Source organism: Homo sapiens, chromosome 7 (assembly GCF_000001405.40).
Source record: "Homo sapiens chromosome 7, GRCh38.p14 Primary Assembly".
Classification (NCBI taxonomy): domain Eukaryota; kingdom Metazoa; phylum Chordata; class Mammalia; order Primates; family Hominidae; genus Homo; species Homo sapiens.
Window position 1 is genome coordinate 75,406,134 of NC_000007.14, and position 12,766 is coordinate 75,418,899.

At 52.4% G+C, this 12,766-nt stretch overlaps 1 protein-coding gene, 1 long non-coding RNA gene and 1 pseudogene across 4 annotated transcripts in view, besides 1 other annotated feature; 1 reads left to right on the top strand and 2 right to left on the bottom strand.

Moving 5' to 3' along the window:
* Positions 1–1,574: 1,574 nt before the first annotated feature.
* LOC124901676 (uncharacterized) lies at positions 1,575–4,220 on the bottom strand. The gene is made up of 2 exons (XR_007060389.1): positions 4,050–4,220; positions 1,575–3,829 (listed from the first exon to the last, which is right to left on the bottom strand). It is a non-coding gene; the product is annotated as an uncharacterized LOC124901676 (long non-coding RNA).
* Positions 4,002–4,942: an enhancer, noted in NCBI's record as "H3K27ac-H3K4me1 hESC enhancer chr7:75039418-75040358 (GRCh37/hg19 assembly coordinates)". NCBI's record gives its function as "activates a minimal SCP1, AML or CMV promoter by ChIP-STARR-seq in primed H9 embryonic stem cells {active_cell/tissue: H9 hESC(primed)}" and the evidence as "EXISTENCE:reporter gene assay evidence [ECO:0000049][PMID:30033119]".
* On the top strand, positions 4,189–10,659 carry NSUN5P1 (NSUN5 pseudogene 1; annotated as a pseudogene). Of its 2 annotated transcripts, NR_033322.3 has the most exons (11): positions 4,189–4,327; positions 4,473–4,593; positions 5,275–5,441; positions 5,522–5,626; positions 6,656–6,799; positions 8,752–8,890; positions 8,987–9,101; positions 9,459–9,645; positions 9,848–10,058; positions 10,142–10,282; positions 10,353–10,659. The product of NR_033322.3 is annotated as an NSUN5 pseudogene 1, transcript variant 2 (transcript). The 2 variants fall into 2 exon arrangements; NR_104013.1 differs by lacking the exon at positions 5,275–5,441 and having other exon boundaries at positions 9,459–10,058; positions 10,142–10,659.
* Positions 10,653–12,766, bottom strand: part of POM121C (POM121 transmembrane nucleoporin C) — a 69,514-nt gene continuing 67,400 nt past the window's right edge. The window contains exon 15 of the mRNA NM_001099415.3: positions 10,653–12,760. Coding sequence (NP_001092885.2) covers positions 12,663–12,760 — 98 coding nt within the window. The 3' untranslated portion in view covers positions 10,653–12,662. The remainder of the gene's footprint in view (positions 12,761–12,766) is intronic.

A 12,766-nucleotide genomic window follows, 5' to 3' on the forward strand; every position in this document is an offset into this window, starting at 1 on the left:
CCTCACTCCCTGTTTATGGGAGACTCCTTGTTTCTCACATTTCTTTTAGTCTTAGAGACAATTTGGTCAGGAGACATGGGTTTAAATGAAGGCACAGAGCCTGGGCACAGCAGCTTACACCTGTAATCCCAGCACTTTGGAAGGCCAAGGCAGAAGGATGACTTGAGGTCAGGAGATCAAGACCAGCCTGGCCAACATGGTGAAACCCTGTCTCTATGAAAAATACAAAAATTAGCTGGGTGTGGTGGCACATACCTGTAATCCCAGCTACTCGGGAGGCTGAGGCACGAGAATCTCTTGAACCTGGGAGGTGGAGGTTGCAGTGAGCTGAGATTGCTCCACTGCACTCCAGCCTGGGTGACAGAGCAAGACTCCATCTCAAAAAAAAAAGAAAAGAAAACAAGAAAAAAAAAAGTCCGGGCATGGTGGCTCATGCCTATAATCCCAGCACTTTATGCTCAAGTCTGCTTTTTTTTTTTTTTTTTTTGAGATGGAGTCTCGCTCTGTCACCCAGGCTGGAGTGCAGTGGCACGATCTCAGCTCACTGCAACCTACACCTCTCAGGTTCAAGTGATCTCCTGCCTCAGCCTCCCGAGTAGCTGGGATTACAGGTGTGCACCCCATGCTCAGCTAATTTTTTTATTTTTAATATAGATGGGGTTTTGCCATGTTGACCATGCTGGTCTCGAACTCCTGACCTCAAATGATTCGCCTGCCTCGGCCTCCCAAAGTGCTGGGATTACAGGCGTGAGCCACCGTGCCCAGCCTTGAGTCTTTATTTTTAGAGACAGGATCTTGCTCTGTCACCCAGGCTGGAGCGCAGTGGTGCAACTGTAGCTCACTGCAGCCTTGACCTCCCAGGCTCAAGTGATCCTCCTGCCTCAGCCTCCTGAGTAGCTGGGACGACAAGTGTCTGCTACCATACCCAGCTAATATTTAAATTTTTAGTAGAGATGGGATCTTGCTATGTTACCCAGGCTGGTCTGGGCCTCAAGCAATCCTCCCACCTTGGCCTCCCAAAGTGTTGGGATTATAGGTGTGAGCCACTGTGCTTAGCCTCCCATAACCCTTTGATTCACGATACTCATAGGCTAAGTGGGTCCTGGAAGCTCCGGGGTAGCCTTCTAACCAAGATGCTGGCTCTGGCCACTGGAAGTCAAACTGGGTGCACAGACCAGTGAGAGGGCATGAGGGAGCCTAGCAGGGGTGAACAGCAACCCTCAGCCTCCCCACAGCCCTGCCTCTCCTCCTGCCTCTCCTCGGTCTCCTTTGAGGATTCAGCCTCTCGTCCTCACCACTTATGGTCTGAGGGCCTCCAGGCTCCTCTTCTGGCTGTCTACCCCTCCACACCCATAGCTCCAGTCATCACTTCCACAGGGATGACTCAGAAGTTCCCTCTCCGGGAGACCCGTCCCTTACAGGCCACATCCAGTAGCGCTCCAGCCATTCAGCAGCTCCGCCTGGACGTCAAGGGCATGTCCAAAACCGCGCTCATGATCTTCCTACTCCCCCATCCCTGAGATTTATCCTGTGGCTGTGGTGTCCTGTGGCTACTGTAACAAATGACCACAAACTTGGTGGCTTCAAACAAATTTAATCTCTCATGGTTCTGAAGGCCAGATGTCCAAGATCACGATGACGGCAAGGCCGCGCTCCCTCTGGAGACTGTCGGGGAAAACCTGCCCCTTTCCTCTTCAGCTTCAGGTGGTGGCTGCCATGCCCTGGTGTTTCCTGGCCTGTGACCGCATCATTCCAATCTCTGCCTCCATCTTCACGTGGCCTTTTCTGTATGTGCCGGTCTAATCTTCCTCTGCTTCTCTCTTATTTTTTGTTTTTTGAGACAGAGTCTCACTCTGTTGCCCAGGCTGGAGTGCAGTGGTGTGATCTCGGCTCACTGCAACCGCCACTTCCCAGGTTCAAGCAATTCCCTTAACTTAGCCCCCTGAGTAGCTGGGATTACAGGCGTGCACTCAGCAAATTTTTGTGTTTTTAGTAGAGACGTGGTTTCACCATGTTGGCTAGGCTGGTTGTGAACTCCTGGGCTCAAGGGATCCACCAGCCTCAGTCTCCCAAAGTGCTGGGATTACAGGTGTGACCCACTGCGCTTCTCCCTATAAGAGAGGCCTTCCTCTGCCTCTCTCTTATAGGGATACTTGTGATGCCATGCAGGACCTGCCCAGATAATCCAGGATAACCTTCTCTCCAAATCCTTCCCCTGATCACTCCTACAGATCTCTTCCATAGAAGGTGACATTTCCAGGCTCTAGGAATTAGGACCTGCTCTCTCTGGGTGGCCGTTGTTCACTCCACCACCCCAGGTTTCCCCATCCTACCAAAAGACACAGCAGCATTGTGTCAACTGCCCAAACTGAAAACCTATGAGTTATTCTCGACCTGACCTTTTTCCTGAGCAAGTTCTGTGGATTTAACTTAGCGGTCACACTGCCAACTTCAACCGAACTCCACTGCCACCAACTCAGTCCAGGCCACCAGTTCTTGTTTAGGTGACTGCCATGACCCCCATTGGTCTCTCCCTGCCTCAACTCTGTCCCCTCCATCCTATATCCCCACACTGTAACCAGACTGATTATTTATTTATTTATTTATTTTTTGGGGAAAGAAGCTTGCTCTATCCCCCAGGCTGGAGTGCGGTGGCACAATCTCAGCTTACTGCAACCTCCGCCTCCCAGGTTCAAACGATTCTGCCTCAGCCTCCCAAGTAGCTGAGATTACAGGTGTCTGCCACAATGCCTGGCTAATCTTTGTATTTTTAGTAGAGACGGGTTTTGTCATGTTGGCCAGGCTGGTCTCAAACTCCTGACCTCAAGTGATCCACCTGCCTTGGCCTCCCAAAGTGCTAGGATTACAGGTGTGAGCCACCGCACCTGGCCAGACTGATCTTTAAAGAAGTATACATGAACACAGCACTCCATGACTTAAAACCCTTAAGAGGACTACCATTTATCTCAAGATAAAAGAACAAAATCCTCGCTGGGCACAGTGGTTCATGCCTGTAATCACTGCTTTGGGAAGCCGAGGTGGGAAGATCACTTTAGGCCAGGAGTTCGAGACCATCCATGGGCAACATGGTGAGACCGCATTTCTACAAAAGATAAAATTAGCTGGGTGTGGTGGTGCACGTCTGTAGTCCCAGCTACTTGGAGGGTGAAGTGGGAGGATCACTTGAGCCCTGGAGTTCGAGGCTGCAGTGAGCTATGACGGTGCCACTGCACTCCAGCCTGGGTGACGGAGTGGGACCTCATCAAAAGCAAAAACAAAACCGTTATTGTGGCTTTGAGGCCTGGATCATAACTACATCATTTAATTTGGCCAAACCGGCCCATTTCAGGTACCCAAATACCCCACGTGCTTTCTTGCTTGGCTCTGGGACTAATGTGGTTACTGGTGCAGGGTGAGTGGCAGGTATCATGAACCACATTGTGGACCTGGAGTTGCTAGGACCTTTTCTGCCATTACACAGAAAAATCCTCCCTGAGAACACAGCCATTGGAGGACACATGGCAGAGGAAGATAAGACAATAAACAGAGACACATAATTATGGCCAGCGTGGGGGCTCACGCCTGTAATCCCAAAACTTTGGGAGGCCGAGGTGGGCAGATCACCTAAGGTCAGGAGTTCGAGGCCAGCCTGGCCAACATGGTGAAACCCCGTCTCTACTAAAAATACAAAAATTAGCCGGGCGTGGTGGCACGGGCCTGTAGTCCTAGCTACTCCAGAGGGTGAGGCAGGAGAATTGCTTGAACCTGGGAGGCGGAGGTTGCAGTGAGCCAAGATCGCGACACTGCGCGACAGAGTGAGTCTTTTTGTCTGAAAAAAAAAAATATATATATATATATACACACACATACACACATATATATATACACACACATATATATATGAAATGACCAATACACATGTGAACATATTCAACGCAATAACTGCGGTTAAACAGCAGTAAAATCCCATTATTTATCCATCAGATTGACAAAGACTGAAGAACTGGAGAAGAAGTGGCGAAACGGGCTCGCAGCGTCGCATTCCCTACCCCAGCAGGTGCGCCCGCAGCGTCGCACTCCCTAGCCCGGCAGGTGCGCGATCACACACACACCCTGCAGGGGGACTTCGACCGGCACTTCCGGTCCCGGAAGGGCATGCCCTTGGACCCCGGAAGTCCGGGCGGGGGCAGAGCCGGGTGCGCTTTGCGACAGAGCCGTAAAGGCGCGCGGGAACATGGGGCTGTACGCTGCGGTGGCAGGCGTGCTGGCCGGCGTGGAGAGCCGCCAGGGCTCTATCAAGGGGCTGGTGTACTCCAGCAACTTCCAGGTAGCGGGCCCGGGCGCCACAAGTAGGGGTGGGGGGTGAGGAACCCGGGGTGGGGTGGGACGGGCCCGGATGGGGTCGGGAGGTGGGGCCCGGCGAGGAGGGCCGGGGGAGCCCCCGACCCAGCTTGTCTCCCTCGGCCACACAGAACGTGAAGCAGCTGTACGCGCTGGTGTGCGAAACGCAGCGCTACTCCGCCGTGCTGGATGCCGTGATCTCCAGCGCCGGCCTCCTCAGTGCGAAGAAGCTGCAGCCGCACCTGGCCAAGGGTAGGGGCGGGGCGGGGAAGTGAACCCCGACGGTCAGCGCTTTGTCATCTGGTTTCAGCCCCGCTGCCGTGCACGGCGGGACTGGAGCAAGTCGCTCACCTGAAATGAGTATGAGCAGACCTTCCCTGGGTTACGAATTGAGATGGGATGAAAATGCTTTAACTTCGAGTGTTTTGAAGGATTAAATAACCGAAGTACAAAGTAGTAGTAGCGGAGACAGTAAGGAAGTCGGGCGTGGCGGCGCGCACCTGTGGTCCCAGCTACTCGGAAGGCTGAGGGGGGAGGATCACTTGAGCCCAGGAGTTCGAAGCTGCAGTGAGCTGTGATGTGGCCACTGCACTTCAGCCTGGGCGACAGATCTAGACCCCATTCTAAAAAAAAACAAAAACCCCAAACCCACACCCACGAAAGGGTAATGTTGGCAAGAAGCTGGGTGCAGAGGTCTACTGGTGAACATCTGTGGGGAAAGGGTCTAAGGCTGGGAAGCGAGACGCCAGGTTCCGATCCTGTTGTGTAGTTAATTTCTGGTGTGGTCTTGAGTAAGGTACCCCACCTTTATCTGTAACCATCTAGTCAGGTGATCTCTTTAGCCATTCCAGTGCCCGGGCTCTATTAGAGTTAGTTCTAAGGCATTCATACTTCTTGCTTAGGGCGTTTCTGTCTTTGATCCCTCATCCCCAGGTGCTAGTGTATGAGTTGTTGGGAAAGGGCTTTCGAGGGGGTGGGGGCCAATGGAAGGCTCTGTTGGGACGGCACCAGGCGAGGTGTTGAGTTGGCTCGGCTCAAGGTTCTTCGGGGTGTGAGCTGGCATGAGGACCTGTTGGAAGTGGGATCCAGGCCTGGTCCAGGTGAGCTGGAAGGAGTTGAGGGGCGGGGGAGGTGGGGAACTTTGCTCCTGCCTACTCACTGCTCATTGCGTCCTACCTAGCCTCCCAGCTGCCTCGATTTGTGCGTGTGAACACTCTCAAGACCTGCTCCGTTTATGTAGTTATTTCAAGAGACAAGGTTTCTCCTATCAGGGTCGGGCTTCCAGGTGAGAGCTTAGAGCCCTGGCTGTCCTCATCTAGGGAGGTGTCTGGGGTACTGGGAAGAGAAGTGGTTGGATAGTTGTGACTTTGCTCTCTGGGCTTTGTTCCTACCTTTCCAGCAGTTTCTCCATCTCCAAGGTTTGTTTTCCTCGCATCCCTTAAACATCGAACTCCTAGGAGCCCCATCCTACATTCTTCCGGAGCTCTCCGTTTTTTCTCTAACTTTAGCTCCTGCCTCCCACCTGGTGATTCTCACCGCCCAGTGTAGACTTCCCTTTTGCATTCTTCCCTCCTTAGGTTCACATGAATGCACCACAGATGCCACAGTCGCTGCATTCATCTTTCCTCTCAGACTTTACACTTAGTACATCCCCAGTTTAATCTAACAGATGTCACCGTTTTCCACCCATTTGGTCAAGCCAGAAACCGAGTCATCCTAGGTGCTTCCTTCCCCTCCCTCCAATCATTTACTCCTCCACCTTGAGCATCTTTCTCAGCTCCACTCCTTTTTTTTTTTTTTTTTTAGGACTGAGTCTCGCTCTGTCACTCTCACCGAGGCTGGAGTGCAGTGGCATGATCTTGGTTCACTACCTCCAAGGTTCATGCAATGCTCCTTCCTCAGCCTCCTGCGTAGCTGGGATTAGAGGCTCCCACCACCATGTCCAGCTAATTATTGTATTTTTAGTAGAGATGAGGTTTCACCATGTTGACCAGGCTGGTCTCAAACTCCTGACGTCAGGTGATCTGCCCATCTTGGCCTCCCACAGTGCTGGGATTACAGGCGTGAGCCACAGTGCCCGGCCTCCACTCCTTTCTCTTAATTCCCCCGGACACTGCCTAGGTTAAGCACTCATTTCTTATTGGGATGACCACAAGAACTTCCCAGACTGGTCTCTCTGCTTCCAGACTGTCTCACTGCATTTTCCTTGAGGTTGACTGTAGGAAGCTCTAAAGGCAGATCTGATGCATTACTCCTCTGCTAAGCCTTTTTTTTTTTTTTTTTTTTTTGAGAGAGTTTTGCTCTTGTTTCCCAGGCTGGATGGAGTGCCCTGGCGCGATCTCGGCTCACCGCAACCTCTGCCTCCTGGGTTCAAGCGATTCTCCTGCTTCAGCCTTCTGAGTAGCTGGGATTATGAAGGGGTGGCCTGCCCCTCCACATCTGTGGGATATCTCATCAGGTGGGACAAGAGACTGAGAAAAGAAATAAGACACAGAGACAAAGTATAGAGAAACAACAGTGGGCCCAGGAGACTGGCACTTAGCATACCAAGGACCTGCACCAGCACTGGTCTCCGAGTTCCCTCAGTTTTTATTGATTATTATTTTCATTATCTCAGCACAAGGAATGCGGTAGGAGAGCAGGGTGATAATAAGGAGAAGGTCAGCAAAAAAACATGTGAGCAAAGGAATCTGTGTCATAATTAAGTTCAAAGGGAGGTACTATGCCTGGATGTGCACGTAGGCCAGATTTATGTTTCCCTCCGCCCAAACATCTGTGGAGTAAAGCATAACAAGGCAGCATTGCTGCCAACATGTCTCGCCTCCCGCCATAGGGTGGTTTTTCTCCTATCTCAGAATTGAACAAATGTACAATCGGGTTTTATACCGAGACATTCAGTTCCCAGGGGCAGGCAGGAGACAGTGCCCTTCCTCTATCTCAACTGCAAGGCTTTCCTCTTTTACTAATCCACCTCAGCACAGACCCTTTACGGGTGTCGGGCTGGGGCACAGCCTCTCATCCCATGAGGCTATATTTCAGACTATCACATGGGGAGAACCTTGGACAATACCTGGCTTTCCAGGGCAGAGGTCCCTGCAGCTTTTCACAGTACATTGTGCCTCTGGTTTATTGAGACTAGAGAACGGCGAAGACTTTTACCAAGCATACTGCTTGTAAACGTTTTATTAACAAGGCATGTCCTGCACAGCCCTAGATCCTTTAAACCTTGATTCCATACAACACATGTTTTTGTGAGCTCAAATTTGGGGCAAAGTCACAAATTAACAGCATCTCAGCCAACCAATTGTTCAAGGTACAGGTCAAAATGGAATTTCTTATGTCTTCCCTTTCTACACAGACACAGTAACAGTCTGATCTCTCTTTCTTTTCCCTACAGGATTGCAGGCATGCAGCACCATGCCTGGCTAATTTTGTATTTTTAGTAGAGACGGGATTTCTCCATGTTGGCCAGGCTGGTCTCAAACTCCTGACCTCAGGTGATCTGCCCACCTTGGCCTCCCAAAATGCTGGGATTACAGGCATGAACCACCGCGCCCGGCCATGCTAAGTCCTTTCTTGGCTCCATTGTGCTGTCCCTCCTGCTTCCTCTCCAGGTCCATCTGCCACAGTGCTACGTGCACCAGCGTGCCAGCAACAGTGGCTGGTCTCTGCCCCGTGCCTCCTCCACTGGGCTCACACCTGTCTTATTTTGTCCTTTGGTGGCTCTGAGAAGCAGCCTCTGCCCCTCTCCCTTTCCCTTACTCTTTGTAAGATCCTCTTCCTTCTGCCCTACCATGTTGCTTGGACACCAGGGTGGAATAGCAGAGAACGGCTGCTTGTGTTTGAATTCCAGCTCTGCCACTTCGATAGATTTCTGAACTGAGACATGTGACTCTCTAGGCCTATTTCTGCATGGGTCGGAGAGTGGGCGGGACTGCTTTACTGAGTTATAGTGAATGTAGTTTTAACCTAAGCGCCTCACATGACTAACTCCTCATCCATCAAGAATGAGCTCAGCTCTCACTTCCCCACTCCTCACCCCCCTGTAAAGTAACCTTTCTCCAAGGTTATGCTTCAACAGGAATAGCTAACATTTATTAAATTGTGGCACGTAAGTATCTTGGATATATTGGCTCATTGAATCCTCACACCTACTATTTTACAGAGATGCCAGTGGGGCTTGAGATTGAATCACTTGCCCAGGCTCCCACTGCTGGTAAACAGTAGAGGGGGCTCCTGACCCATCAGTCTGGCTTGACAACCCATTCCCTCAACTGCGGATCCCGGATTCCCTTATCACCCTGTTGATTTCTCCATAGCTGTGGTAACATTTGTTGCATGAATGGACCGTTGAAATAGGGCCTGGCAGGGAGAAATTCAGGAAATGAATGAATGGTTCTTCCCTGGCAGCCTTGATGACTTACAAGCCCTCAAGGGGAAGCATTTTCTCCTGGACTCCTTGATGCCGGAGCTGCTGGTGTTTCCCGCCCAGACAGATCTGCATGAACACCCACTGTACCGGGCCGGACACCTCATTCTGCAGGACAGGGTAGGCAAGAGGAATAGAAAAGGGAAGAATGTGTAGGCACGGGAAGGGCCTAGCCTGGGGTCTCTGTTTACCCGGCCCCTGTGTTCTGCCTGCCAGGCCAGCTGTCTCCCAGCCATGCTGCTGGACCCCTGCCAGGCTCCCATGTCATCGATGCCTGTGCCGCCCCAGGCAATAAGACCAGTCACTTGGCTGCTCTTCTGAAGAACCAAGGGTGAGTGCCACAGGAGGAGGAGGAGGAGGACATGGGGTTTGATTTTGTGCCTTTCAGTGGGTAATAAAGGCTGAAAGGATGACTTTCGCTTAACTCTTTCCTGCTGTACCAAAGTAGTTCACGGTATTTGCCCCAAGCTAAGCTTTCCCCACTGCAGGTGTGAGATGTGGATCCCTTAGCCCTTGGGGCAGAGACCCCAGGCCAGTTACCTCTGACCCTGGGCCCTTTAAATATAGGCCGTTTCAATATTGTGTGTCCTGGCTTAACCTGCATGTTCTGGTTGTCTGTGTCAGCTGTGACAGGCCCTTAGCTGCTCCATGCATGCTCAGCTCACCCCTGCTCTGCCCTCTGCCCTAGGAAGATCTTTGCCTTTGACCTGGATGCCAAGCGGCTGGCATCCATGGCCACGCTGCTGGCCTGGGTTGGCGTCTCCTGCTGTGAGCTGGCTGAGGAGGACTTCCTGGCGGTCTCCCCCTTAGATCCGCGCTATCGTGAGGTCCACTATGTCCTGCTGGATCCTTCCTGCAGTGGCTCGGGTGAGATGGTGAGAAGGCGTGGCTGAGGGACTCGGAGGTCCACAGCAGCTTAGACCTGGAGTCATCTGTTTTGGTCTTAGTTCTGACACTTTAATGGGCTTGGGACCCTGGAGCAAAAGTTCTCCTCTGTGAGGCAAGGATTTCAGGAGCGAGGATTTCAGGACTGAGGCAGCCTGTGAAGCTGTGTAACCGAGACACGCTTTTCCTTAGGTATGCCGAGCAGACAGCTGGAGGATCCCGGGGCAGGGACACCTAGCCCGGTGCGTCTGCATGCCCTGGCAGGGTTCCAGCAGCGAGCCCTGTGCCACGCGCTCACTTTCCCTTCCCTGCAGCGGCTCGTCTACTCCATGTGCTCCCTCTGCCAGGAGGAGAATGAAGACATGGTACCAGATGCGCTGCAGCAGAACCCGGGCGCCTTCAGGTACAGGGCGGGCGCCAGGGTCGTGGAGGGGGGGATGGGGTGAACTGCTCTCTTACCCAGCATTGGGGCTGTTTCTCTTGCAGGCTAGCTCCCGCCCTGCCTGCCCGGCCCCACCGAGGCCTGAGCACGTTCCCGGGTGCCGAGCACTGCCTCCGGGCTTCCCCCAAGACCACGCTTAGCGGTGGCTTCTTCGTTGCTGTAATTGAACGGGTCGAGATGCCGATGTGAGTGAGTGGGGGCATGCTTGGGAGGCGCAGGATGGTACTGGCACATCTAACATCTACACTTCTCTAGCTCAGCCTCACAGGCCAAAGCATCAGCACCAGAACGCACACCCAGCCCAGCCCCAAAGAGAAAGAAGAGACAGCAAAGAGCCGCAGCCGGTGCTTGCACACCGCCTTGCACATAGCAGAGGCTCCAGGCTGACTCCTTCCTGGTGGGAAAGGAAGATGCCTGTCCTCTCCGTGGAGGACCCTGGGCCCTCACCGCAGGCAGCAGTTTGCATTTTGAAAGGTTATTGGGTCCCTTCCTCGGGCTGTGTTCTTGCTGGTGAGCAAAAGTGTTGCCTGCAGAAATAAAATGCAGAACGTACTCTACGATAGATCACAGTTTTTTATTCTTAATGTCACAAGCAGGAGAAAAATCTCACATTCATACTAAAAATTCCAACTAGACTCAACAGGAATGAAGTCTCTATTTGTAATGGAAAGTCCCAGCCTCCCGCTGCCGTCCAGTGTGTGTACTGTACACATCCACACTCACTCTCACTCAGGGTTCCCGGACCGGCTGTCCTGCCTGCGGAACTGAGGTAAACAAGCTCAGGTACTGACACTAGGAGGGTCTACCTTACATAAGGTACAGGTAGAAGCTTGATTGCTAGGCCCAGGCCCACCCAGACCCTCCAATCCTAACAGGTATTTAGGCTTGAGGTTCACTCCCTCCTCAGCTGCACACGCAGCCAGGTATAACACTCGCCCTCAGTCACAACGGGGAGGGGGCACCGGTTACATCTACATCACATTATTTATAAAATAAGAATTACATTTCATATAACATGGCCAGAAGGAGCTCTAGTCCCCCAGGAAAGCTGCCGGGGACAGCATTTGAGCCTCTTCTTTGCACAGGCATAACTTAACTATACAGCTAATTCCTAGTTAATAGCATTTATACTTAACCACCTCAATGAACCAAGCTTGAAGGAATTTAAAAGGCAATTTAGCTTAAATACAAAAATAAATTTTTGTTAAAAAACGTTTAAATATTTTTTTCTTTTAATTTAGACACACGCATTCATACTTCTCCCAAAGAGGTTGGGCGTGACAGCAAGGCGCTTGGGCCTGGGGTATGTGGTTTCAGAAGGACGGAAGGAAAGGATGGGCTGCAGAGGGCCCTGTTTGGGAAAAATAGGATTTTAAAAATATGGTTCATTAATTTAGGTTTTCTAACATCTACTTTGGGTGACGTAGCCTCCAGTGAGGTCAGTTAAGTGGGACAGAAACCGCAGAGGGAAGAGGTCTTTGCTTCCCCTGGGCCCATTCTCCCTGGCTGCCAGCCCTTGAAGTCAGAACACCATGGGAAAATTCAGGAGTCGGCACTTGTAGCCGTCAAGTGGTGCTACTTTCCACATTCAATTAGCGAGGCCCCAGAAAACTTGAAACAGGAAGTCCGGCACTACCAACATGCCGCCACTCATACAACTCAACTCTTCCTCCAAACTCGATTCAAAGAGCAATACACAGAGCGTCAGACAAAGGAACACAGGACAAGGCTTGAAACATACAATCCTGGAGAGGCAGACGAGGGCCCAATGGGGCCAAAGGGTAGCTGGGCGAGGAGGCAGCTGAAGCAGCAGTGGGCATCCTGCCTGCTCCAAGAGCTTCTCCCTTCACCCCTGGCTCTGCCAGGCTAACAGTCTTGAGCCACCAAGCTCTGAGGGGCCAAACTGGCAGAGGGTTGGAGATGAAACATTGATTCAGGCTTGGCAGGAAGAAAACGGCAGGAGCAGCACCCACTGGGGTCTCCAAGGCAAAGCTAGATTCAAGGGCATTTAAAAAGGAGGGAATCCTGCAAGGAACCGGTGAGGGACACAGCAGCAAGAAATGGGGAAACAGAGTCCCCAGAAGGGACCAGAGGAAGAGAACCACTTCTCACAGCTAAGCCAAGCAAGATAAAGCTTTAGGGATAACCCATTTCCCAAATCCCATCAGGTGCACACCACCGATCCAGGCGGGCTGGACCCTGCCCCCTCCAGCGACGACGGCTCTCGGGGAAAGGTGGAAGGGGCGCCTGCCTAAGGGTGCGCTAAGCGGGAGTCAGGGCAGCGGACACTATGTACAGGTCCTTAGTTCTCCAGCCTCCCCAGTGGAACTGTTCAAGTAGAGGTCCCGGGCTTTGGCCCTCCGCATCCTGCTTCCCCTTCCCTGAGGCTTGTGCTTCCTCCAGAAGGGAAAGGGCCCCAGGGCTGCCACTGCCCCCTGGCGGCTGAAGCCAGAGATCCGGGGTAGGTTTGCTTTACGCAGCTGGAAGGGTCCAAGGCTCTTTCTAGCACGTGCCAAGGTCCAGATTTAGGGAAGGGGTGGGGGGAACAGGGACAGGGGACAAAGGCTACTTTTTGCGGGTGTGCTGCCTTCGGGCCTGCAGTCGCTGTCGAGCCCCTGGGGTCTTGGATCCCGCACCAATGGAAAATGAAGGGGCCGCCGATCCTGGAA